At 41.4% G+C, this 27571-nt stretch overlaps 1 annotated feature.

The window, feature by feature from the left end:
• Nucleotides 6346-7545: an enhancer, noted in NCBI's record as "MED14-independent group 3 enhancer chr10:95686691-95687890 (GRCh37/hg19 assembly coordinates)". NCBI's record gives its function as "activates an origin of replication core promoter dependent on BRD2, BRD4, P300/CBP and CDK7 cofactors, and independent of MED14, by STARR-seq in HCT116 cells {active_cell/tissue: HCT116}" and the evidence as "EXISTENCE:reporter gene assay evidence [ECO:0000049][PMID:35650434]".

The raw sequence follows: 27571 nt of genomic DNA on the forward strand, positions 1-27571 counted from the left end.
GGAAAACAGACCAGGGAGGGGGAAAGAGGCAAGCAAGGATGCACTTTTTTAAATTTATGTATGTATTGAGACGGGGTCTCACTTTGTCACCCAGGCTGGAGTGCAGTAGCACAATCTCAGCTCACTGCAACCTCTGCCTTCAGGGCTCAAGCAATCCTCCCACCTCAGCCTCCTAAGTAGCTGCCACCACACCAGGCTACTTTTTAAATTTTTTGTAGAGATGGGGTTTTGCCATGTTGCCCAGGTCAGTCTCGAATTCCTGAGCTCAGGTGATCCACCCTCATGGGCCTCCCAAAGTGCTGGGATTACAGGCTTGAGCCACTGCACCTGGCAGAGGATGTGCTTTCAGGAGCATAAATCACACCACTGCATTGTAGGTGGGTCTTATACCCAGAGCAATTCTTGGGGATGGGGAATCTGTGAGCCATTAACAGCCAGGTTCAGTGGCCTTAATTTCTAAATTTTGTTCTCCTGGGTAAAATAAGGTGCCTGAATTAAATCAATGAAGGATCCTTCACGTGGGCCTGGGAATCTCCAGGAATTATATTTAAAATTCAGCTTTCCATGCAGTTTTCTGGGATTCAGGTGCATAACTTTTGTCAGATTCTTTGAGGACAGGGTGACTTCAAGCTTCCTTCCACCCCAGCACTTTGAATAGGAGTGTGAGAAGAGACTTAGGTCAGAGGAGGAAGCTAAGCACTGAATTCTTAGTTCTAGTTTTAGAAACATAATCGACCAGAACAGGGATTCTTTGGTCTCACCTTATCCCAACCCCCATTCAAATTTAGGAAAATTAAAGGCAGTCTCCCAGAACCCACTCAGACCCACTCGCTTTCACAGCCACATCTTTTCAGCTCCGCCACCTCCCGGTGAGGGGGGTGTTATCCTCGTTTTACAGAGGGGAAACTGAGGTGCCAGTGATGTGACTCATTCAGAATCCCACAGCACCCCCTTGTGGTGTGGAGCTATGGTCAAGACTTGCTGTGGAAACCAGTGGCTTGCGTTTCTTGATTTTTTTTTCTTTTTTTGAGACAGGTTCTCACTCTGTCACCCAGGCTGGAGTGGAGGGGCTTGATCTCAGCTCACTGCAGTGTCAACTTCCCAAGCTCAGGTGATCCTCCCATCTCGGCTTCCCGAGTAGTTAGGACCACAGGAGCATGACACCAGCCCAGCTAATTTTTGTATTTTTTGTAGAGATAGGGTCTCACCATGTTGGCCAGGTTGGTCTCGAACTCCTGGGCTCAAGCGATCCATCTGCCTCATCTTCCCAAAATGCTGGAATTACAGGCGTGAGCCACCATGCCTGGAGAAATATTTTTGTTTTAAAAAATACTGTATTTATCTTTCAAAGGTGATACTTTAAAAATTCAACAAGCGAGAAAGTAAAGAAAAGGGAATCCTTCTACACTGTTGGTGGAAACGTAAATTGGTGTAGCCACAGTGGAAAACAGTTTGGAAGTTTCTTGAAAAATTAAAAATATAATATGATTAAAAAATCCCACTTCTGGGCATATATCCAAAGGAATCAAAATCAGTATACTGAAGAGATATCTTCACTCCTGTGTTCACTGCGGCATTATTCACAATAGCCAAGACGTGCAAGCAACCTAAATTTCCAAAGGACAAATGGATAAAGAAAATGTGGTGTATATATACATACAGTGGAATATTATTTAGACTTAAAAGAGAAAGAATCTTGCCATTTGCGACAACATGAATGAACCTGGAGCACATTATGCTAAGTGAAATAAGCCTAACACAGAAGGACAAATACTACATGATACCAATTATATGAGGTATCAGGTATAGTCAAACTCGTAGAATCAGAAAGTAGAATGGTGGTTGCCAGGGCCATATGGCAAAGGAAGATGGGGAACTATTGGTCAAAGGGCACAAAAAATTTCAGTTATGCAACATGAATAGGTCCTAGACATCTGTACAACATAGTGCCTAGAGTTAATAATATTGCATTTTATACTTAAAAATTTGCTAAGATGGTAGATCAATGTCAAGTGTTCTTAACACAAATTATAATGAGGGTGGGAGGAAACTTTTGGAGGTAATTGATATGTTTATGGCATAGATTGTGGAAATGGTTTCATGGATGTATACTTATCTCCAAACTCATCAAGCTGTATGCATTAAATATGTACAGATTTAAAATAAATAAGTAAAGTTGCAGCAACAGTCAGAGAAGATTTTCCAAGGACTGCAATCACATTGCTCTCAGAACATATTTTCAAAGCAAGAATCTGTATAGGACATTGACATCTGGATTTCTGATGCATTTCTTGTATCTTAAATCAGGGATTGCATCATTAATAAACTTCCATATAGTTAAAAAATTAGCAACACAGAAATGTAAAATATAAATGGAAGGCTCAATTCCCCTGACCTTTAAGTAGTAGAGTGGATTCTTCTTTTATTTTTCTCCTCTTTTTTTTCCCATTTTTTTAGAGACGAGCTCTCCTTCTGTAGTCCAGAGTGGACTGCAGTAGTATGAACTTACTGCAGCGTTGAACTCCTGGGCTCAAGCTATCCTCCTGCCTCAGCATCCTAAGTACCTGGGACTACACATGTACACCACCATGCCTAGCTGGATTCTCTTTTCGATAGATACATATAGATTTGTTTGTTTAATTGATTGATTAATTTTTACAAAATGGAATCATATGGTACATTCTGTCCCGAAACTTCTGTCCCACTAGACAGTATATCACGAAAATTTTTCATGTCAGAAGATAAAGACATACCTCATTCATTTGAAAACAATAGTAAAAACAACATGTATATATATTTCAGACCATCAATATGTTAATTTAAACGGCCAGATTAAATCATATTGGTAAACAATGTGGAGTGAAACTTCTGCCATCTTAGAGCAATTATTCGAACTTCCTGTAAACTGATTATGAAGGTTGTAGTTCTAAACTATTCAAAAAATTCAGGAACTTTTCAGGACCACTCACAACAAATTGTTAAAATAAGCATGCTCTCACAGCCCCGGGGGCTGCCCTGCAGGAAATGTTGGATAATGTTCAGGTCCATCTGCTTTGTGCAGGTGCTCATGACATCGTAATGACAAACTGTACAATAGCAAGAGAACATACAAGCTGCTTTGCCATGATTATATTATATTATATATAATTTTAGCTCTTATAATTTTGGTGTCCTGCCTGTCTGACCCCTTATACTTATAAGAGAGTTTTTATAAAGTTTGAGTGCTTATGGTTTACCTTTTATTTTTACTTTTTTTTTTTTTTTTTTTTTTTGAGACAGAGTCTTGCTCTGTCGCCCAGGCTGGAGTGCGGTAGCACAATCTCAGCTCACTGCAAGCTCCGCCTCCCGGGTTGATGCCATTCTCCTGCCTCAGCCTCCCGAGTAGCTGGAACTAGAGGCGCCCGCCACCACGCCCGGCTAATTTTTTGTATTTTTAGTAGAGATGGGGTTTCACGGTGTTAGCCAGGATGGTCTTGATCTCCTGACCTTGTGATCCGCCCACCTCAGCCTCCCAAAGTGCTGGGATTACAGGCGTGAGCCACCATGCCCAGCCTTTTTTTTACAGATAGGGTCTCTCTCTGTCTTTCAGGCTAGAGTGCAGTGGTACAATCAGAGCTCACTTTAACCTCAAACTTCTGGGCTCATGTGATCCTCCTGCCTCAGGCTCCAGAGTAGCTAGGACCAAGACACACATCACCACACCTGTCTAATTTTTAATTTTTTTGCAGAGACAGGTCTATTTTGCTTAATCTGGTCTTGAACTCCTGACCTCAAATGATTCTCCCATCTCGACCTCCCAAAGTGTTGGGATTACAGCTATGAGTAACCATGCCTGGCCTAGCTTTTAATTTTATAAATGTTACTGTATTTCAGTAGAAGTAAAATAAGTAAGCTAAGAACTAGAAGCCAAATGGTGTATTGATAGACAGCTAGACAGGCATAGATATAGATGTATAATTACCTAACAAATCCTACTAAAATCAGAAAATCTAAATAGCTTCAAATTGAGTTAACTGAGCTTAATATGGCAATGCAGAAACATAATTGTACCAACCTTACAATGCAGATAAAATTCCAGGGGTGAAATTTTAAATATAACATTATTTTACTTAACCTGTAAAACAAATGAAAAGTGATGGTTTTGAAACTTTAAGTAAATGCTTGACTGTGATAGCACCAAGTATCTGATTTATTTTTATTTTTTTTCTTTTGAGACAGAGTCTCACTCTGTTTTGCAGACTGGAGTGCAATGGCGAAGTCACAGCTAGCACCACAGCCTCAAACTCTGGGTCAAGTGATCCTCCTGCCTCAGCCTCCTGAGTAGTTGGGACTATAGGTGCATACACCACCATGCCCCCCAGCTAATGAATATTTTCTTTTTCTTTTTTTTGAGACGGAGTCCCCCTGCATCACCCAGGCTCTTCTTCTGTCGCCCAGGCTGGAGTGCAGTGGTGTGATCTCGGCTCACTGCAAACTCTGCCTCCCAGGTTCAAGCAATTCTCCTGCCTCAGCCTCCCAGGTAGCTGGGATTACAGGCATGTGCCACCACGCCCAGCTACTTTTTGTATTTTTAGTAGATATAGGGTTTCATCATGTTGGCCAGGCTGGTCTTGAACTTCTGACCTTAAATGATCCACCTTCCTTGGCCTCCCAAAATATTGGGATTACAGGCGTGAGCCACCACGCCAGGCCAATGAATATTTTCAAATTGGATTTATTGAACACCTCATAATGTTTCAGTACACATGTAAAAAGTGCATTATACTGGAAAAAACAGTCTGGCATGGTGGTTAACAGTTTCAGTTCTGGAGTCAGACCATGCTGGGTTTGAATTCTAGCTCTATCTATCTCTAACTAGCTAGGTGACTCTTGGGCAGATAATATCACCTTTCTGAGCTTCAGTCTCCTCATCTGTGAAATGGCTTTACTAGTCTCCATTTTACAGGAACATTGCAAGAATTAAATGAGATCATGGAGTTAAAGAGCTTAGCACAATGGCGGATCCCTAATAAGTGTTAGAGATTATTATTGTTTTAAAGAAAGGAAAAGCAAAGGCCACTCAGGGCCAAGGTGAAGGATGCTCTTCTCTGAGGTCTTGCTGAGCCACAAGTAGCTTGTCAGGACCTCTTTGTCACATCAGCCTAACCCCTATGTCCTGTGTTCTCAGCCACTTCACTGCATGATCTCACTCCCAGTGAGTACTCACCTCCAGTAGGGAGATGCCCTCTGTTATACATTTTTTTTTCCTTTCTGACATCTGCATGGAAAAAGAAAAGAAGCTCTTAGAGTTAAGTATGAGAAAAGGCAAGTGACGACAGTCAGAGAAAAAGAGTCCTGCTGCCAGCCTCTGAAGAAAGCCACCAGAGGGGCTTTGATGCTAACCTAATCTGAAGAAAGGACTTCATTTCCAGGCTAAAAATTCAGAATGAATTTATTTTTTCTTTTTCATGTAATTAATAGGTATGCTTTGTTTAGAAAAAACAAAACAAAACACTGCATAGTACAGACAAATGAAATGTTAAGTTTCCTGTCCCAAACAATTCCAGTCCCAGTTTCTTGCTCCTTTTTAATTACTGGTTTCTGGGCTTTTGGGGATCACCTTTATTGTAGGTGAATTTGAGGAGAACACTCTGTTCCAAGCACTTGTAGGGTCCTGAGTCAGTGTATGTTGAACCTAAGGGAACAAGAGGATTCTGTGTCCTGGTTGAGGCCAGTGTCAGCACTAGGCATTAGCAGACATCATCCTTGCAGAATTTAAAAATGAAATTTTGAATAAATGAGCAGATGATGATCAAAGAAGCCAGGGGGGCCAGAAGAACTTTTCAGTTTACATCTTTCTACAGCCATCCCCAGAGTGCCTGGGTAGAGCAAGCAGAGGGCCATTAACAAACCAGACAAATGCCCACCGCTCGTCCAAGGAGCAAGGCTCGAAAATCAGACCAGGAACCCGATTCTTCCTGTCACAACCAGGCACCTGGGATGGTGAGAGAATGAACTCAGCTGTGAATGGTCCAGACCTAGAACCCAGACAGATCCTTGAGAAGAAAGATAGGAATAGACCACCTACTGGGGTACAGGTTTCCCCCAGCCAAGCCAGCCACATGCAAACCCAGAACAAGCCAGGAATCTATTCTTCTCATAGACATGCCAGCCAACTTGTGACTTACCTAGCAGGAATTTAGAAGTGGATTAAGGAAATGAGAGCGATGCAAGTTGATTTCATTATGGTCAGATGCCAGCAAAATAAATCTAGATCATCATTATGTATTTATACCCATAAAGGGAAGAACTTGGCATGGATTACAAGGTATTTAATTATAATTTAGACATGTTATGGCACTCAGTGTTTTGTTTTATTATACCTTTCATGTATTGACAGGCCAGTGTGACCACAGAAAATTTAACCTTCCTGCCAGTCCTTCTCCCTGACCTCCTGTATTGCTAGGAAGAATGAAAATTAGCTGTATAGGAAAAAAAAAGATTAACTTTCATAAGTAGCCCATATGTGCCGTTGTAAAGATTCACTCTCATAAGTAGCCCACAGGTGATGTCGTAAGCATAGTGAATACAGAGGGGGAGAGCCGAGTCTCTAAGCACACAAGCTTTTTGAAGCATCTCTGCTTGGCAAAGGCTCTTCTCTCCACCTCCAAGTTATTCTTTCAGACTCACCTCTCTTTGAAACCTTTCACCTCAGCCAGGCGCAGTGGCTCATGCCTGTAATCCCAGCCCTTTGGGAGCCCGAGGTGGGCGGATCACGAGGTCAGGAGATCAAGACCATCATGGCCAACATGGTGAAACCCCATCTCTGCTAAAATACAAAAAATTAGCTGGGCATGGTGGCGGGCACCTGTAGTCCCAGCTGCTTCGGAGGCTGAGGCAGGGGAATTGCTTGAGCCCGGGAAGCAGAGGTTGCAGTGAGCCAAGATCGCACCACTGCACTCCAGCCTGGTGATAGAGCAAGACTCCATCTCAAAAAAACAAAAAGCAAAAAACTTTCACCTCCCAGTTACAGTGAGTTTCTTCCCCTTTTCTCCTTCTGGAGTGCCCTGTTCTTACCTCAGTAATTGTTCTAGTGGGTGTTCTAATTATTAGTTTAAGAGTCTGTCTCGGTTGTACCAAGATGGCCGAATAGGAACAGCTCCAGTCTACAGCTCCCAGTGTGAGCGACGCAGAAGACAGGTGATTTCTGCATTTCCTACTGAGGTACTGGGTTCATCTCACTGGGGCTTGTTGGACAGTGGGTGTAGCCCACGGAGCATGAGCCAAAGCAGGGTGGGGCATTGCCTTACCCAGGAAGCACAAGGGGTGGGGGAATTTACTTTCCTAGCCAAGGGAAGCCGTGACAGATGGTACCTGGAAAATTGGGACACTCCCACCCTAATACTGTGTTTTTCCACCAGTCTTAGCGAATGGCACACCAGGAGATTATATCCCATGACTGGCTTGGAGGGTCCCACACACCCACGGAGCCTCGCTCACTGCTAGCACAGCTGTCTGAGATCAAACTGCAAGACGGCAGTGAGGCTGGGGGAGGGGTGTCTGCCATTGCTGAGGCTTGAGTAGGTAAACAAAGTGGCTGGGTGGAGCCCACCACAGCTCAAGGAGGCCTGCCTGCCTCTGTAGACTCCAACTCTGGGGGCAGGGCATAGCTGAACAAAAGGCAGCAGAAACTTCTGCAGACTTAAACGTCCCTGTCTGACAGCTTTGAAGAGAGTAGTGGTTCTCCCAGCACAAAGTTTGAGATCTGAGAACAGACAGACTGCCTCCTCAAGTGGGCCTAAATGGGAGGCACCTCCCAGTAGGGGCCGACTGACACCTCATATGGCTACATGCCCCTCTGAGACCAAGCTTCCAGAGGAAGGATCAGGCAGCAAAATTTGCCATTCTGCAATATTTGCTGTTCTGCAGTCTCCGCTGGTGATACCCAGGCAAACAGGGTCTGGAGTGGACCTCCAGCAAACTCCAACAGACCTGCAGCTGAGGGTCCTGACTGTTAGAAGGAAAACTAACAAACAAAAAGGACATCCACATCAAAACCCCATCTATACGTCACCATCATCAAAGACCAAAGGTAGATAAAACCAGAAAAATGGGGAGAAACTAGAGCACAAAAGCGGAAAATTCTAAAAATCAGAGAGCCTCTTCTCCTCCAAAGGAAAACAGCTCCTCTCCAGCAACAGAACAAAGCTGGATGGAGAATGACTTTGACGAGTTGAGAGAAGAAGGCTTCAGACCATCGGTAATAACAAATTTCTCCAAGCTAAAGGAGGATGTTCGAACCCATCGCAAACAAGCTAAAAACCTTGAAAAAAGATTAGATGAATGGCTAACTAGAATAAACAGCATAGAGAAGACCTTAAATGACCTGATGGAGCTGAAAACCATGACACGAGAACTACGTGATGCATGCACAAGCTTCAGTAGCTGATTCGATCAAGTGGAAGAAAGCATATTGGTGACTGAAGATCAAATGAATGAAATGAAGCAAGAAGAGAAGTTTAGAGAAAAAAGAGTAAAAAGAAATGAACAAAGCCTCCAAGAAATATGGGACTATGTGAAAAGGCCAAATCTACATCTGATTGGTGTACCTGAAAGTGATGGGGAGAATGGAACCAAGTGGAAAAACACTCCGCAGGATATTATCCAGGAGAACTTCCCCAACCTAGCAAGGCAGCCAATATTCAAATTCAGGAAATACAGAGAACGCCACAAAGATACTCCTCAAGAAGAGCAACTCCAAGACACATAACTGTCAGATTCACCAAGGTTGAAATGAAGGAAAAAATGTTAAGGGCAGCCAGAAAGAAAGGTTGGGTTACCCACAATGGGAAGCCCATCAGACTAATAGTGGATCTCTCAGCAGAAACTCTACAAGCCAGAAGAGAGTGGGGGCCAATATTCAACATTCTTAAAGAAAAGAATTTTCAACTCAGAATTTCACATCCAGCCAAACAAAGCTTCATAAGTGAAGGAGAAATAAAATCCTTTACAGACAAGCAAACGCTGAGAGATTTTGTCACCACCAGGCCTCCCTTACAAGAGCTCCTGAAGGAAGCACTAAACATGGAAAGGAACAACCGGTACCAGCCACTGCAAAAACATGCCAAATTGTAAAGACCATTGAGGCTAGGAAGAAACTGCATCAACTAACGAGCAAAATAACCAGCTAACATCATAATGACAGGATCAAATTCACACATAACAATATTAACCTTAAATGTAAATGGGCTAAATGCTGCAATTAAAAGACACAGGCTGGCAAATTGGAGAAAGAGTCAAGACCCATCAGTGTGCTGTATTTGGGAGACCCATCTCATGTGCAGAGACACAGATAGGTTCAAAATAAAGGGATGGAGGAAGATCTACCAAGCAAATGGAAAACAAAACAAAGGAGGGTTTGCAATTCTAGTCTCTGATAAAACAGACTTGAAACCAACAAAGATCAAAAGAGACAAAGAAGGACATTACATAATGGTAAAGGGATCAATTCAACAAGAAGAGCTAACTATCCTAAATATATATGCACCCAATACAGGAGCACCCAGATTCATAAAGCAAGTCCTTAGAGACCTACAAAGAGACTTAGACTCCCACACAATAAAGATGGGAGACTTTAACACCCCACTGTCAACATTAGACAGATCAATGAGACAGAAAGTTAACAAGGATATCCAGGAATTGAACTCAGCTCTGCACCAAGCGGACCTAATAGACATCTACAGAACTCTCCACCCCAAATCAACAGAATATACATTCTTCTCAGCATCACATCACACTTATTCCAAAATTGACCACATAGTTGGAAGTAAAACACTCCTCAGAAAATGTAAAAGAATAGAAATTATAACAAACTGTCTCTCAGACCATAATGCAATCAAGCTAGAACTCAGGATTAAGAAACTCACTCAAAACCACTCAACTGCATGGAAACTGAGCAGCCTGCTCCTAAATTACTACTGGGTACATAACGAAATGAAGGCAGAAATAAAGATGTTCTTTGAAACCAATGAGAACAAAGACGCAACATACCAGAATTTCTGGGACACATTTAAAGCGGTGTGTAGAGGGAAATTTATAGCACTAAATGCCCACAAGAGAAGGCAGGAAAGATCTAAAATTGACACCCTAACATTGCAATTAAAAGAACTAGAGAAGCAAGAGCAAACACATTCAAAAGCTAGCAGAAGGCAACAAATAACTAAGATCAGAGCAGAACTGAAAGAGATAGAGACACAAAAAACCCTTCAAAAAATCAATAAATACAGGAGCTGGTTTTTTGAAAAGATCAACAAAATTGATAGACCATTAGCAAGACTATCAAGACTGCTATCAAGACTAAAGAAGAAGTGAGAGAAGAATCAAATAGACACAATAAAAAATGATAAAGGGGATATCACCACTGATCCCACAGAAATACAAACTACCATCAGGGAATACTATAAACACCTCTACGCAAATAAACTAGAAAATCTAGAAGAAATGGGTAAATTCCTCGACACATACACCCGCCCAAGACTAAACCAGGAAGAAGTTGAATCCCTGAATAGACCAATAACTGGCTCTGAAATTGAGGCAATAATTAATAGCCTACCAACCAAAAAAAGTCCAGGACCAGATGGATTCACAGCCGAATTCTACCAGAGGTAGAAAGAGGAGCTGGTACCATTCCTACTGAAACTATTCCACTCAATAGAAAAAGAGGGAATCCTCCCTAACTCATTTTATGAGGCCAGCATCATCCTGATACCAAAGTCTGGCAGAGACATAACAAAAAAAGAGAATTTTAGACCAATATCTCTGATGCACATCGATGCAAAAATCCTCAATAAAATACTGGCAAACCGAATCCAGCAGCACATCAAAAAGCTTATCCACCATGATCAAGTGGGCTTCATCCCTGGGATGCAAGGCTGGTTCAATATACGCAAATCAATAAATGTAATCCAGCATATAAACAGAGCCAAAGACAAAAACCACATGATTATCTCAATAGATGCAGAAAAAGCCTTTGACAAAATTCAACAACCCTTCATGCTAAAAACTCTCAATAAATTAGGTATTGATGGGACGTATTTCAGAATAATAAGAGCTATCTATGACAAACCCACAGCCAATATCATACTGAATGGGCAAAAACTGGAAGCATTCCCTTTGAAAACTGGCACAAGACAGGGATGCCCTCTCTCACCGCTCCTATTCAACATAGTGTTGGAAGTTCTGGCCAGGGCAATCAGGCAGGAGAAGGAAATAAAGGGTATTCACTTAGGAAAAGAGGAAGTCAAATTGTCCCTGTTTGCAGATGACATGACTGTATATCTAGAAAACCCCATCATCTCAGCCCAAAATCTCCTTAAGCTGATAAGCAACTTCAGCAAAGTCTCAGGATACAAAATCAATGTGCAAAAATCACAAGCATTCTTATACAACAATAACAGACAAACAGAGAGCCAAATCATGAGTGAACTCCCATTCACAATTGCTTCAAAGAGAGTAAAATACCTAGGAATCCAACTTACAAGAGATGTTAAGGACCTCTTCAAGGAGAACTGCAAACCACTGCTCAAGGAAATAAAAGAGGACACAAACAAATGGAAGAACATTCCATACTCATGGATAGGAAGAATCAATATCGTGAAAATGGCCATACAGCCCAAGGTAATTTATAGATTCAATGCTATCCCCATCAAGCTACCCATAACTTTCTTCACAGAGTTGGAAAAAACTACTTTAAAGTTCATATGGAACCAAAAAGAGCCCGCATTCCCAAGACAATCCTAAGCCAAAAGAACAAAGCTGGAGGCATCACGCTACCTGACTTCAAACTACTACAAGGCTACAGTAACCAAAACAGCATGATACTGTTGCCAAAACAGAGATATAGACCAATGGAACAGAACAGAGCTCTCAGAAATAACACTACACATCTACAACCATCTGATCTTTGACAAACCTGACAAAAACAAGAAATGGAGAAAGAATTCCCTATTTAATAAATGGTGCTGGGAAAAGTGGCTAGCCATATGTAGAAAGCTGAAACTGGATCCCTTCCTTACACCTTACACAAAAATTAATTCAAGATGGATTAAAGACTTACATGTTAGACCTAAAACCATAAAAACCCTAGAAGAAAACCTAGGTAATACCATTCAAGACATAGGCATGGGCAAGGACTTCATGACTAAAACACCAAAAGCAATGGCAACAAAAGCCAAAATAGACAAATGGGATCTAATTAAACTAAAGAGCTTCTGCACAGCAAAAGAAACTACCATCAGAGTGAACAGGCAACCTACGGAATGGGAGAAAATTTTTATAATCTACCCATCTGAAAAAGGGCTAATATCCAGAATCTACAAAGAACCTAAACAAATTTACAAGAAAAAAATCAAACAACCCCATCAAAAACTGGGCAAAGGATATGAACAGACACTTCTCAGAAGAAGACATTTATGCAGCCAACAGACACATGAAAAAGTGCTCATCATCACTGGCCATCAGAGGAATGCAAATCAAAACCACAATGAGATACCATCTCACACCAGTTAGAATGGCAATCATTAAAAAGTCAGGAAACAACAGGTGCTGGAGAGGATGTGGAGAAATAGGAACACTTTTACACTGTTGGTGGGACTGTAAACTAGTTCAACCATTGTGGAAGACGGTGTGGCAATTCCTCAAGGATCTAGAACTAGAAATACCATTTGACCCAGCCATTCCATTACTGGGTATATACCCAAAGGATTATAAATCATGCTGCTATAAAGACACATGCACATGTATATTTATTGCGGCACTATTCACAATAGCAAAGACTTGGAACCAACCCAAGTGTCCATCAATGATAGACTGGATTAAGAAAGTGTGACACATATACACCATGGAATACTATGCAGCTATAAAAAAGGATGAGTTCATGTCCTTTGTAGGGACATGGATGAAGCTGGAAACCATCATTCTCAGCAAACTATTGCAAGGACAGAAAACCAAACCCTGCATGTTCTCACTCATAGGTGGGAACTGAACAATGAGAACACATGGACACAGGGTGGGGAACATCACACACCATGACCTGTCGTGGGTTGGGGGGAGGGGGAAGAGATAGCATTAGGAGATATACCTAATGTAAATGACGAGTTAATGGGTGCAGCACACCAACATGGCACATGTATACATATGTAGCAAACCTGCACGTTGTGCACATGTACCCTGGAACTTAAAGTATAATAATTAAAAAAAAAGAAAAGAAAACACAGAAACTACTAATACTATTTAAAAAAAAAATCTAAAAGTCCTGTAACAACAACAACGACAACAACAACAAAAAAGAGTCTGTCTCTCTCACTGGTCAATGAGCCTTCCCAGAGGGTAAAAGACTGCAAGAATTGCCTTGTTCATTTTGGTACATCCACACAAAGAAGTACTGTGCTGCAGTAAAAGAGAAAATGGAATTATCAGGCATCAGCGAAATGAAAATGAAATCCACCATGAGATATCACTTTACTTCCACTAAGATGGCTATACTGAAAGGGTCAGATAATAACAAGTGTTGACAGGGATGAGGAGAATTCGGCACCCTCATACATTGATAATGGGACTATAAACTGGTGCTGCAGCTGTGGAAAACAGCCTTTTGGTTTCTTAAAAGATTAATCACAGAGTAGCCATATGATCCAGGAATTCCGGTCCAAATGAGACAGCCAAGTATAAAGGGGTCGCAGGAGGACCTCCAACTGGCCTCCGCACTGGGAGGAGTGCACACTGGGGGTGGAGCCTCTGGAAGTTTGCCAGTTTGCAGGCGGGAGGAGCCTGGCCTCTCCGGTTCCGGGTGGTATCTGGGATTCAATCTGTGAGTCTAGAAGCCTATTAGCAGGACCCTCGCTTTGCTGAGAGTCCCTGTTTCCGTTTTTTTCCCCTTTTGATGCAATAAACCCTCCCCTTCTCACCCTTCAAAGTGTCTGCGAACCTAATCTTTAATGGCCGTGTGACAAAAACCTGGCTTTTAGCTGAACTAAGGAGAAAGTCCTACAACACAGATACATACCCAAGAGAATTAAAACTGCACATCCACACAAAAACTTATACATGAATGTTCATAGCAGCATTACTCATAAGAGACAAAAAGTGGAAACAACTTGAGTGCCCAGCAACTGATGAATGAAACAATAAAATGTGTTACATCTACACAGTGGCATATTATTCAGCAAGAAAAAGAAATGAAGTACTGATACATTTTACAACATGGATGAACCTTGAAATTATGCTAAATGAAAGAAGATAGGGGCAAAAGATGACACATTGTATGATTCCACATATATGAAAAATCCAGAATAGGCACATCTGTAGACACAAAGTAGGTTGGTGGCCCCCCAGGGCTGCTGGAATAGGGGGAAATGCTGAGTAACTGCTAATGGTACAGATTTCTTTTGGGGGTGAGGAAAATGTTCTAAAATTTATTGTAATGATGGTCACACGACTCTCTGACTATACTAAAAAGCATCAAATACTTTAAATGGATCAATTTTATGGCTTGTGAATTATATCTTCATAAAGCTGTTATTTAAACAAATAAGAACAAGCTCTTTAATACTGAAAGGTGTGGTTTCTGTCATATAAAGTTAACCAAAAAAGGCAAGGTGTAAAAGAGTACATAATTTATGTTTGAAAAGGGGGGTATATTAAAATGTTCATGCGCCAGCTAATTCTTGCAAAAAGAATCACAGGAAGGATAAATCAGAAATTAATGATAAGGCCAGGCACAGTGGCTCATGCCTGTAATCCCAGCACTTTGGGAGGCCAAGGCAGATGGATCACGTGAGGTCAGGAGTTTGAGACCAGCCTGGCCAACATGGCGAAACTCCGTCTCTACTAAAAATACAAAAATTAGCCCCATATGGTGGTGGACGCCTGTAATCCCAGCTACTCTGGAGACTGAGGCAAGAGGATAGCTTGAACCCAGGAGGCAGAGGTTACAGTCAGGAGGTGGAGGTTGCAGTGAGCCGAGATTGTGCCACTGCACTTCAGCCTGGACTACAGAGCAAGACTCCGTCTCAAAAAAAAAAAAAGAATTAATGTTAATGTTCCCTACAGAGGGAGAGTGTGAAAAGGGTGGAAGGGAAGGAGAGGTAGTGTCACTTCTCTGATTAAACCTTTTTGTATAATTTTGACTTTTGGAACCATGTTAGTGTTTTTACAAATTCAAAAAAAAATTAAATTAACAAAATTGGCAGAAAAAATTGAATATGAACAAAAACATGAATTGAGCTATATATCAAATGAATGCTATAAACACAGAAGGGGAAAAAAGGGATTGTGTACATATAAACAGCCTAATGACAGAAAGAACTGCAAATAAATCTTGAACTTTGCTTAGTAGTTTTGTTATTGGCAGTGCTATGGGCATAGGAATTCTGAAAGTATTTTCTGAATATTGTAGGATAGAGTCAATGACTATATATATACTGAAATTTTTGGAAACCAGAGCTTTTGCTGATGGAAACCACAGCTTTTGCTGTTGCATTTGATATGCAAATATGAAATGGGGGCTAGAGATGAACAACCCTGTGCTGGAATCACTATAAAGTCATGATTTTAAATACGTGGGTCTATATTGGCCAAAAGTGTTTAAAAGCAGTCACAACCCAGTAGCAATATCCACACTTAGTGCCCAGATCTTGGTTTCTAAATTTCATTTCCCATTAATAAGAATCAGTGCTTCTTAGAAAAAAAAATAGCTGATTCCAGCACTGGGCCAGGGAATACAGAATGAATATCTTGTGTGAAGGAGTGCCTAAAAAATGATGAGGACCTGTCAAAAGGTCTCTGAAGGGATTCCCATTGTCCAAATCAGGAACAACTTGAGGATCAAAATAGATATCATTCAGCCTGGGCAATATGGCGAAACCTTGTCTCTACAAAAAATACAAAATAATTATCAGGGCACGGTGATGTGTGCCTGTAGTCCCAGCTACTTGGGAGGCTGAGGTGGGAGGATCACCTAAGCCTGGGAGGTCTAGGCTGCAGTGAGTTGTGATCACGCTGCCGCGTTCCAGCCTGGGTGACAGAGTGAGGCCCTGTCTCAAATAAATAAATAAATATCATTAGTAACAGATTATAACATATTAAATAAAATGGGAATTCATGAGCCCATACTGATACGAATAAATGAATAAGTAAGTAGGTGGATAGATGATAGATAGGAAAACTTTTCTTTACATTGGAAAGTCAATTGAGGCTGGGCACGGTGGCTCATGCCTGTAATCCCAGCACTCTGGGAGGCCGAGGCAGGTGGATCACCTGAGGTCACTTTGAGACCGCCTGGCCAACATGGTGAAACCCCGTCTCTACTAAAAATACAAAAATTAGCCAGGCGTGGTGGCACAAGACTGCAGTCCCAGCTACTCTGGAGGCTGAGGCACAAGAATTGCTTGACCCCAGTGACAGAGGTTGGAGTGAGCCAAGATCGCACCACTGCACTCCAGCCTGGGTGACAGAGTGAGACCCTATCTTGAAAAAAAAGAAAAAGAAAGTCAATTGATAATAGTAAACACAATGATGAAATTAGAAAAATCACTATGTGGCAATCATCACAGTAATAATAAATTCAACTAAAAATATCAATAAATGATAAAATTAGTGGGTGAATGTTTGATGAGGAGCAGGATACTTACATGGTCTCAAAATAACTCTCCACAAAATACTTACTGAGTATAAAGAGAAAGACAGTAACTATAAGCAGTAACTTGAGGCAGAGAGCACTTTAATCAAACAACGAAGGTTAACATCAGCATGTTAGACAAATTGAAATCATACACCACGTCATAGGATACATTGAGGACACACAGCCTCGCTTCCGTGATATCTTACCAAAATGCAAGTCATGAATCTGATCACAAGGAAGCATAAGGCAAAGGCAAACTGAGGGACATCCTGCAAAATAACTGACCTTTAAGAGGGTCAAGGTCATAAAGCCAAAGAAAGATAAGTAGATATGGCAACTAAATGCAACATGTATTCCTGTATTGGATCCATTTGCAATAAAGGACATTGATGGAACAACTGGATAAATGAATGGGGTCTGTGGGTTAGATGATAGTAATTATCAATGTTAACTTCCTGATCTAAATGGTTGTATCATGGTTATGTAGGAGAAAGTCCTTGTTTGTAGGAATATTCTAAAGTATTCAGGGATATTAGACATTATGTCAGCAACTTTTCTTCAAATGGTTCAGAGAGTGGGGAAGCTCTTTATTCTATTTTTGCACCTCTTAAGTTTGAATTTATTTCAAAAGTGAAAAGAAAAGATTCCATGAGTCCACACTTAAACTAAAAACAAACATAGAAAGGGAATAGAAAAAGAGAGAAAGTTTTTATTTACAGTAGAAAGCCAACTGAAAAAATGTATAAGGAACAATAGAGTTTTAAACATTACTATTTTTCAACCACTGTGTTAACTGACTTAGGCAAAAATCATCAGTGGATCCTAAAATCACTGGGTGATAATTTGTTGAGAAACAAGATACTTATACAAACTCAAAGCATCTTCTCATATTACTTATTAATTACAAAGGGGAAAATGGTACCTTTACCTAAATCTGATAGATACTACTTCAGCCAAGTGATTAAAGTCAACATTACCCATGATGGGATGAACTGACATCAGATGATTCCTGCCATGATGCACTAAAAGAGACACACACCATTTACATTGTATTCCTGCCAAGAAGGCATACTCATAATCAAATCACAAGAAGGCACTCGGACTAACCTCAAGTGCCCAGATCTTAGTTTCTACATTCTACTAATCAACATTCTGTAAAACAATAGGCAAGTGCTCTTTCAAAATGTTAAAGTCATGAAAAACCATGGAAGGCTGATAAATCATTGCACATTAAATGACACTAAAGAAACATGATAAAGAAATATAATGTGCTATCCTGGATTAAATCCTACATTAAATGTATAAAAAATTGCTATATTCTTTTTTTTTCCCCAGCTCTGTCACCCAGGCTGGAGTGTAGTGGTGCAATCACAGCTCCCTGCAGCCTCAGTCTCTGGGACTCAAGTGATCCTCCCACATCAGCTTCCCAGGTAGCTGAGACTACAGGTGCATGCCACCACAACCTGCTAAATTTTTTTTTTGTATTTTTTTTTCAGAGATGGGGTTTTTCCATGTGGCCCAGGCTGGTCTCATACTCCGAGGCTCAAGGGAATCTATCTGCCTGCCTCAGCCACCCAGAGTGTTGGGATTACAGGCATGAGCCACTGTATCTGGCCTAAACATTGCTATATTCAATATTAGTATAGTAGTAAAATTTGAATAAGGGCTTTATAATGGGTAATATTAGATCAATGTTAAATTTTCTGAGTTTGATAATCAGACTGTCCTAATTCTAGTTGATCTTTTCAACTTACTCTCAAATGTTTCAGAGAGAAAAAAAAGAAGCGTATGTGTGTGCATGAGAGAGAGAGTGGGAGAGGTGGAGAAAGAAAGCACAAATGTGTCAAGGTGCTAATAAAATGTGAAGTCTTCAAATTTTTAATTTATAAAGAAAAGAAATTATCTCATTCAAATCTGTATCCTCAGCATCTCCTAGCATTGCCCTGGAATATAGTAGATGCTCAATATATGTTCATTAAATGCTTAAATGAAATGACAAAATCTGATCAGGACTCTTACTTGCAAGTGATAAGACATTCAGTTTAAACTGCCTGAGCGTAATAGAACTCAGTACATTAAACTGCAAAATCAAAGGGTATAGCAGTTGGCATAGCCAGATTCAGGTGTTCACTTGATGTGATCACGATCTGGACTCCTCTTTCTCTCTCAGCCCTATTTTCCTTTGTGTTGGCTTTACTTTGTGTTGGCTTGAATGTGTCCCCCACATTTCATATGTTAGTATATTTGGAGGTGGTGAGGGCCTTTAGGGGTAATTAGGATTAGATAAGGTCATCAGGGTAGGGCTCCCATGGTAGACCAGTGGCTTCATAAGAAGAGGAAGAAAGACTTGAGCTGGTATGCTCTTGTCCTCTTGCCATGTGATACCCTCCACCATGCTGTGATGCAGTAAGAAGGCTCTGACCAGATGTGGATCCTTTGGCCTTGGACTTCCCAGCCTCCTGAATTTAAGAAATAAATTTTCCTTCCTTCCTTCCTTCCTTCCTTCCTTCCTTCCTTCCTTCCTTCCTTCCTTCATCCCTCCCTCCCTCCCTCTTTCCCTCTTTCTTTCTCTCTCTCTTTCTTTCTTCTCTCCCTCTCTTTCTTTTTTTTTTGAGACAAAGTCTCACTCTGTCACCCAGGCTAGAGTACAGTGGTACAATCCTGGCTCACTGCAGCCTCCACTTGTGTTCACTTCCTAGGCTCAAGTCACCCTCCTACCTCGGCCTCCTGAGTAGCTGGAACTACAGGTGTGTGCCACTACACTTGGCTAATTAAAAAAAAATGATTTTGTAGAGATGAGGTCTCACTATATTGCCCAAGCTGGTCTTGATCTCCTGGGCTCAAGGGATCCTCCCACTTTGGCCTCCCAAAGTGCTGAGATTATAGGTGTGAGCCACCATGCCCTGCCAAGAAATAAATTTATTTTATTTATAAATTACCCAGTCTGTGGTGTTTCATTATAGCAACCGAAAATGGACCAAGACACTCTCTCAAACTGACTCTTCATATAGTGGCACCATATAGCTCTCTAGTTCAGCAGAAATAAACATTCTTTTGTCCAGTTGTTTCATAAACTTCCACTACTAATCTCATTGACCTGATGTGAGTTGCCAGAGAGGATGAAAAATGCTAATGAGCATATCTGAGACTTGAGACTTTCACCCAATCCATGTGAGTAAGAGAAGGGTAAGTGTAGTTCTCTAAGGAAATCAGGTGGCATAATGAGGCAAAGCCAAGCCACGTTGGAACCAATGATGTTTCGTAGCTGGCACAGAAGGGGAGGTGAGTGAGCAGTAGGTGGTACACATATAACAAGCCCTTTACGGCAGTGGTCACAAGTTGGCAGCCCATGGTCCAAATACAGCAGACAGATGTGTTTTGTTTGAACTCCCTGCTGTGGTTTGAAAGTGTCCCTTCCAAAATTCAGGTGTGGCCAATGCAATAATATTAAAAGGGGTATCTTTAAGAGTTGATTAGGCCAAGATGGCCCCTGCCTCGTGAATGGAATTAAGGCCCTTATAAAAGAGGCTTCATGCAGCACTCAGCTCACTTGCCCTTTCGCCTTCTGCTGTTCCTCCCCTGCGGAGGATTCAGCAACCAGGCGCCATCTTGGAAGCAGACAGCAGCTCTCAGCAGTCACCCAAATCTGCTAGTGCCTTGATCTTGGACTCCCCAGCCTCCAGAACTGTGATAAAATCAATTTCTGGTTCTTTATAAATTACCCAGCCTCAGGTCCTTTTGTTATAATAAGGTATTTCCTGTTTTAAAAACTGGGAACTTTTTTTTATAGCATCCAGATTTCTGGCTACTCTTGAAAACTCAAGAAGATCTGGCAACACTGAGTTCACATTCTCACACAGGAACAATTGGCTGGAGCTGAGTAGCCTTAAAGAAAGAACATCCTCCGTAGAACGGCATCCCCCTCACTCCCAATTTTCTCATGCCTGGCCCAAGTCTCTCATTTACGTGACCGGTGGGCTCTATGGGCACTGAAGCCTGTGACAAGTGAAGGGGAGCTCGCGAACTCCTAGCAGGCTCTTTGGAAAACCCACTTAGCCCTTAGCACCTCCCTGTGGCCTCTTGCATTCTCCTCCTTCCAGGTTTCTATTGTCAGCAAAATTTTGAATAAAGATTTCAGTAAAATTTTGAAAAGAAGTAAAGGGGCTCAGAAATTTGGCAAAACTAAGTTTATACTTGAAAACTACAAAATAAATAGGTGGAAAAAAACGTTTTGCCACAGTTTGCCTCAAAGGGTTCCCACACCCCTGCATTAACTAGAATACTTTAGAAGCAAAGGCGAATGACTATTCCTACCCCCTTCCTCTCTCACCCACACCCGCAAAGTCCTAGAACTACAGTCCCTTTAAGGACATCAGTATGAATATTTTTGTTGTCTTCCTTCTCTAGTATTTTCAGAAACTTAACACATGCTGGACGTAGCAGGTGCGATTCTAATTATAATGTGAGTGGGAGTCCACCGAGCCAACTATTTCAGAAGGGCTTTGAAAGTTGTATCAGAGCATCGAGCTGGTCGCAGCATTGTGCTGCCTGAGCTGCAGCCCATTTGGGCATAGGTCCATTGACTGTCAGCCTCCTTCTGGCCAGTTAAACCCTTGAGAGCTAGGAGTGAGTTAAAAAGAAGGAAAAAAAGCCAGCACCTGCTCCAGCTTTGGCAAGAACCCTAAAATAGAGCAACCATTTCTCGTGAGAGCTGAACACAGTGTCTGCAGCTGCTTGCTTTCCTATCGAAAATCAATTTCTATCTATTAAATAACATAAATAGGATAGCCTTTCTCCCTTTCAAATTCATCACTTTTTTTCCTGATTGAAGGAATCTTTTTGAGCACTTCCGTGTAGATTTGGAGTGAGTGGGGAAGGTTTTTTTCTTTCCCCTGTCAAAAACCATCAACCCATGAAAAAGAAGGAATCCACTTGTAAAGTTTTTTTTTTTTTTTCAGTTGACCACTTTTACAAGTAAGCATAGAGCTTACTGTTTCTTGTTTTAGTTTTCTTTCCCAGGCAAACTGCGGAAGAATAAATGAAAAATATACACGGGAACCTAATACTTCTCTTCAGTAAATACCCAGTCCTCAATAAAAATAGGCTTCAGTTCAGTATAATAGTACACACATAGAGAAAATGGCATGGAGAGAAAAAGGACAAGAAAGAAAAGAGGATAGAGAGTGTATGGTCAAAGATGGGAAGAAAGAGGATAAAAGTTGATCCCTTGATCAGACCACTCCCCACTCCAAACAACCTTGGTCCCTAAACTCACCTTACATCCTAATTCTGTAAATGCCACAGCTCTTTAGCTTGGTCCTTGAGCCTTCCACACACTTGGTCTATTCAGTTGGGTTGTTGATCACCTGGATGCCCTGATAAAACCAACCTTGTTTCCCCAAACTTGTCTCAATTCCCTGAAGAATAATAAGCACGCTCAAGGAGAACTCTTCCTACAATAGGTTATTCATCTTAATTATCCAGATCTTTTCCCAGAGTGCATACAATTTTATTTATTGTGTTTTGGATGGCTCATTCTTAAGAGTCCAGAAAAAGTATATTACCAGCTCTCTATAAATGCATCCATTCAACCAGCATTTCCTGTTTTCCTGTTGAATGCCCTCTGAGATACTGAGAACTATTGGACTCAAGATGGCATTTCTCACCTCCTCCAACATAATTCTCTAGTAACCAGACCATTAGGCATTCTGTCAAAATATCTTGTACGTGGCCCTATCATTTCTTTTACTTAAGTAAATGCAAGTTGCCCATGGTGAAGTTAGCCAAGCAGAATACATCTTACAGGGAGAATTATCTATTCCTTAAACTTCACCCACAGAAAATAAGATGTTTTAGAATGTGTACATTTTTAAAATAGTTTGATTTGAAGTGCCAAGGAAGGGAAAATATTTAAAAATGAGTTCTGAAAGACAATAAGGCAATTATAAGTCATTATTAAAGTAAATAAACTTTGTTACTTCTTTCCTCTCACCTCCCCTTTTCACCCCATTGATTCTGCAGTGTCTCTTGGAAAAATAAAAGCACTGTACACAGAGAGAAGCTAAGGATAGAGAAATGCATTTTAAAGTCCATGAACTCAGTAACTTATCTTCTCTCTGCCTGTCCTTTTGTTTAGGCAGGGACTCAGAGTCAGCTTCCACTGTGCCTCTCTATCACTGGTCTTGGAACCTTCCAGTTATATTAGATAATCCTTTTATGGCCTGGCATTCTTAGTGTCAAATACAATTACTGGTTAACCTGATGGCTGTCTCCTCTCATGAAGAAAGTTTTTACAAAACTTGCCAAGACCAGGTGAAGACTAGACCAGATCTAGTCTCAGAGCTCCAGGCTCCTCCCTGACCTCTCTCTGGTTCTGACAGCAATGACAGGGCAATGCTGCCAGCAGGCCTGGGTGAGGGAGACCCCTGCCCTGATTCTGTTTATTTTCTGAACTTTAGGCCCAGAAGTAAAGCCAAATGTCTTCTGCATGCTGTTGTGAAACCAGTTAATTTTCAGATCTATTATAAGGGCAGTGGAGTGATTTGCACAAAAATCATGCCATGCCTCTACTCAAAAGTCTCCAGCAAATGCCCATCTCACTCAGAGAAAGGCTACTACTGTCCTTCAGGGGTCTACAAGCCTCACCAGCACATACCCACCCCACCTGGCTAACTCTCTAACTTCCTCTTCTTCCACCTCCCCCTTGGTCTCTCTACAGCCATGTGACCCTCTTGCTGTTCCTCCAGCATCTCAATCTTTTATTCACCAATGGGCCTTTGCATTTGCTGTCCCCTGTGCCTGGAATGCTATTCCCCCAGGTACCCACAGGCTTACTTTCTCCATTCCTTGCAGTCTCTGCTCAAATGTCGCTTTGTCAGTGAGACCTTTCTTGAAGATACTTCATAAAACAGCAGGAGCCCGCTCCCACAGTTCACATACCATACAATACACTCATTTGAAGTGTACAATTCAACGACTTTTAGTATTAACAGAGTTTGCATCCATCACCACTATCAATTGTACAACATTTTCATCACCCCAAAAAGAAAGTCTGCACCTTTTGATCATCATTACCCTCTGACACACCAATTACTCCGGTTCCCTAGCCCTAGCTGACCACTAATCTGCTTTCAGTCTCTATATATTTGCCTATTCTGGACTTTTCACATGCAGGAAATTATACAATATACAGTCTTTTGTGATGGGCTTTTTTCACTTCTCATAATGTTTTTAAGATTCATCCATGTTGTGGCATGTATCAGTACTTCATTGCTGCTTCTTGGCAGATAATATTCCATATGGATATACCACATCTTAGTCCTCTGCTTATCGGTAGATGAACATCTGAGTTGTTTTCACTTTTTGGCTATTGTGTATAATTCTGTGAAAGGCATTGTGAGCAAGTTTTTATGTGGTCATATGTTATTTCTCTTGGGTACATACCTAGAGATAGATCCCCATCATTTGTGTTATGCTTTATTTGAGCATTTGTTACCAACTGAGGTATTATATATTGACTTGTTTTCTGTTTTATTGCCTGCCGTGCTCCCACTAGAATATAAGCTCCCTAAATGCAGGATCTTGACGTGTTTTGTTTGCTGCTTAGAATAGTGCCTAGCCCAGAGTAACCATGCAACAAATATATGTTATATGAGTGAGTCAAAGAATGCTAAAATCAGAGCAAACTTAGGGGGAAAAAACTATTAATTCAATAAACCAATCATGTGTACATTAAAATTCCACTTGTGGGAAGAAGTCTGGAATAACAACTTTCAGGGAAGTAAAAAAATTCCAGAACTGCCACTAGCCTGTGCCTTAGTCAAGTGACTTCCTTTTGGCTTCAGTTCCTCCCCTTTAAAATATCAGGGTAGAACTAGTATTCCTGGCTCCTTCCAACTCCATGTTCCTTAGTGGTAACATAAAAATGAATAAGTGACTTGATTTGCTCACACAGGTATTTATTTTTCATTCATTCATTCATCCCAAAAATATTAAGTGCCTTCATGAGCCAGACACTCTTCAGGTGACTCACTGTGCATATCAATATTTATAGTCAATTTGGATAATAATTATACCATTGCTGATTTAAATTTCTTTTTTAAATTTCATCAAATATAGCTGGGTTGGGCTCTTTAAAAATGAAAACTATCTCTTAATTATTTTAAGTTTTAAAGACATGGGCATAAACTGGAACTAAAAAAAAATTAGTATCAACACAATGTAAGTTTATTATTGTTTCTTGCTTCAGTATGTTCCAGTTTCATGCAGATACAAAATGCATCCATGTGCAGAAATGGAGAGGGGATAAGTGGGGTGAGGGATAAAACGTCTAGGTCAGACTCAGTGGCTGTGGCTTTTGCTCTATGGGACTACAGTCTACATTCCGAGCACTCACCATTCACAGCTGCTACCTCTTCTTGTGTTTCTCATAGTCTTCATATACTGAAGGTTTGTCTGAAATGAGGTGAGCTTCTCTATTATTTCTTTATCCATGGAGTTTATTCCTCAATTTGGCATAATTCCTCAAGTGTTGAGGGGCAGGGGGAGTAAGAGAGCTGAAGAGTTTTTTTCTTCTATTGACACCATGCCAATGGGTAAGCTGTACACTCTGTCTCCCTCGTACCTTCGTTTCCTCCTTAGGAAGACAGTGGATTTAGAATTTAGATACCACTGTCTACTAGGTTGAGCATGACCATCTGCAGAAGTTAGAGCAAACCAAAGCAGAGAGGCCAAAGGCATGAGAGGTTCTTTTGTACAACGGCCTTGTTTTTGCTGGAGAGTTATGCTTGCCAAATTGCTGGCTATGTTCCTGGACCAAATATTCCAAAATGTACTTTGTCAGGAGAATTTTCTATGATTAAGTCCCAAGGACAGTTTTACATAATCTTCCCACTACATGATTTTAAGAAAGCATTTTGGGAGAGCAAAACGAACCTGGGAAGTAATACACAAATGCCTCATTCAACAAACATTTGTTTACCTGTGATGTGCCAGGCTCTGAGCAGGTGGTGGTTAATGTTTTCTCATCTAACCTGCCCTGATTCTCCATGAGATGAGGATCACTGGCTTGCTTTGTTTTACAAATGAGGAAACTGAGGCTCAGAGATGTTAAACAATTACCTCAGCTAGGATTATAAAGGTAATAGACAAAATCTATGGAACTCCAAGGAGATCCTAGGAAATAAGTCACTCTTATGAAATAATTCTTTAAAATATTTCTTAGTATTTTATTATTACTTTAAAGATAAAAAAGAGTTGACTGTAAACTAGTTATATGTACTGGTCACAAACAATGGAACCAGCTCTTGGTACTAGAGAAAACAAATCAATAAGTAAATAAACAAGCCTGGGAATTGAAGAAAATGTACGATGAAAGAATAAATCTTAGAAAACAGCAGGAACTAAGGGGTTCAGAGACCCTTAATAGAAACAAGCATTACCCTTCAAGATAAGTAGGTTTGATGATTTTCAGCCATTTTAAAACTTTTCGTGCTCTACTCCACTCAAATTTCAGAGAGTGAATATTGGAATGATTTAGTTTGGGACTTCTGCCCATGCCGTGGTCAAGGGAGGGACACTTGACATGTATGCTGAATCTATGTTATTTCTGACTGGAGGTGAGTATTGGTTTTCTTAAGCGAAAGCTGGGTGTTGTTATCAGGAGAAGGGAGTGGAGAGGCCAAGCGGGCAAAACAACAGATGTCCATGAACCTGGTGCCAGGAATGTGGCCTCTCCATCCCCTTGGAGGGATCTATGACATGGGTTTGAGGCTAGGGGCAGATATAAACCATGAATAGAAATAAAGATAAATGCTGGATCAAAGCTGTGGCCCAGGTCAGGAAGGGGCAGGCCTGAGCCAGGAGAGATGGATGACAGAGAGGGCACTTGGAGTTCTGAGGTGTGAGCAGCTGTATTTTCTGATACGCACTTCATCTAGCCGCCTGCACCGAGAATGTACCACATGGTCAGTAGAATGGAATGTAGGGCAGACACCAGCCCCTCGGAAGCACACAGAAACCTGATATAGTGGCTTCAGCCGGATGCCTAATTCCCTGTGGTGTCCAACGAACGGAAATATGAGGCTGGCCAGGCCATGTGAGAGAGTAAGACCAGCCAAGTGAGAGTTATCAGGGCCGAACTGCACATTTAGGTGAGACCAGGGAGGTTAGCTGAGGCACAGAGAAACTGCCCCATTCTCTTTCTTAAGCGGAGGCTTACCCGGCTAGCAACAGAGAGGGGTCCTCGTTGAGGCAGAAAGTGCTGGCACCAGAGAGGGTAGAGGAAACTCCTGTGATAGATGCATGAAGTGCAGTCTCATTTGGAGCCAACAGCTGGGGCAAAGCAGCAATATGAATTACCAGATATAAGAGGTCAGTTTGAGACTGTGGTAAAGAATGAGGCAAGAGACCAGAAGCTTTGATAAGAAACAGGTCTAGAAACACAGTGGGAAGTAGGATGGCTTGAGAAAGTTCAGTATACAAACTGAACTGCCCAAGAAACCAAAGCCTTGTTCTCATTGGGTGCTGGTCACATGACAGGGGGCTAGGCAACCAATCAGACCACTTAATAGTATAGAGCTGGGTTGGAAAAAAATAGGCAAATACTCTAGGTCTACCTGGGCACCTTGTCCAGAGAGGACATCCACTGAAGTGAACTGCAGGCAGGAAACAGAGGTCTGAAGGGGAGAAGCCAGGGTCCTACAGTCAGAGAGCCAGCCAGGTGGGCACTAATCAGTACGATAGATCCCTGCTCCCAATGCAGATATCCATCGAGGGAGGACACCAGGTTGCTGGTCTTGGTAATGTTTATTAAGTGTGAGCCTCTGTCTAATTGGGCAAGTGTCAATTCTTAATCCAGCGCCTTAGACCACTCGGCCACCCTACCGTGGGCAAGTGTCAATTCTTAAAAGTGAG

The sequence above is a fragment of the Homo sapiens genome, chromosome 10 (assembly GCF_000001405.40).
Source record: "Homo sapiens chromosome 10, GRCh38.p14 Primary Assembly".
In the NCBI taxonomy this organism is placed as follows: domain Eukaryota; kingdom Metazoa; phylum Chordata; class Mammalia; order Primates; family Hominidae; genus Homo; species Homo sapiens.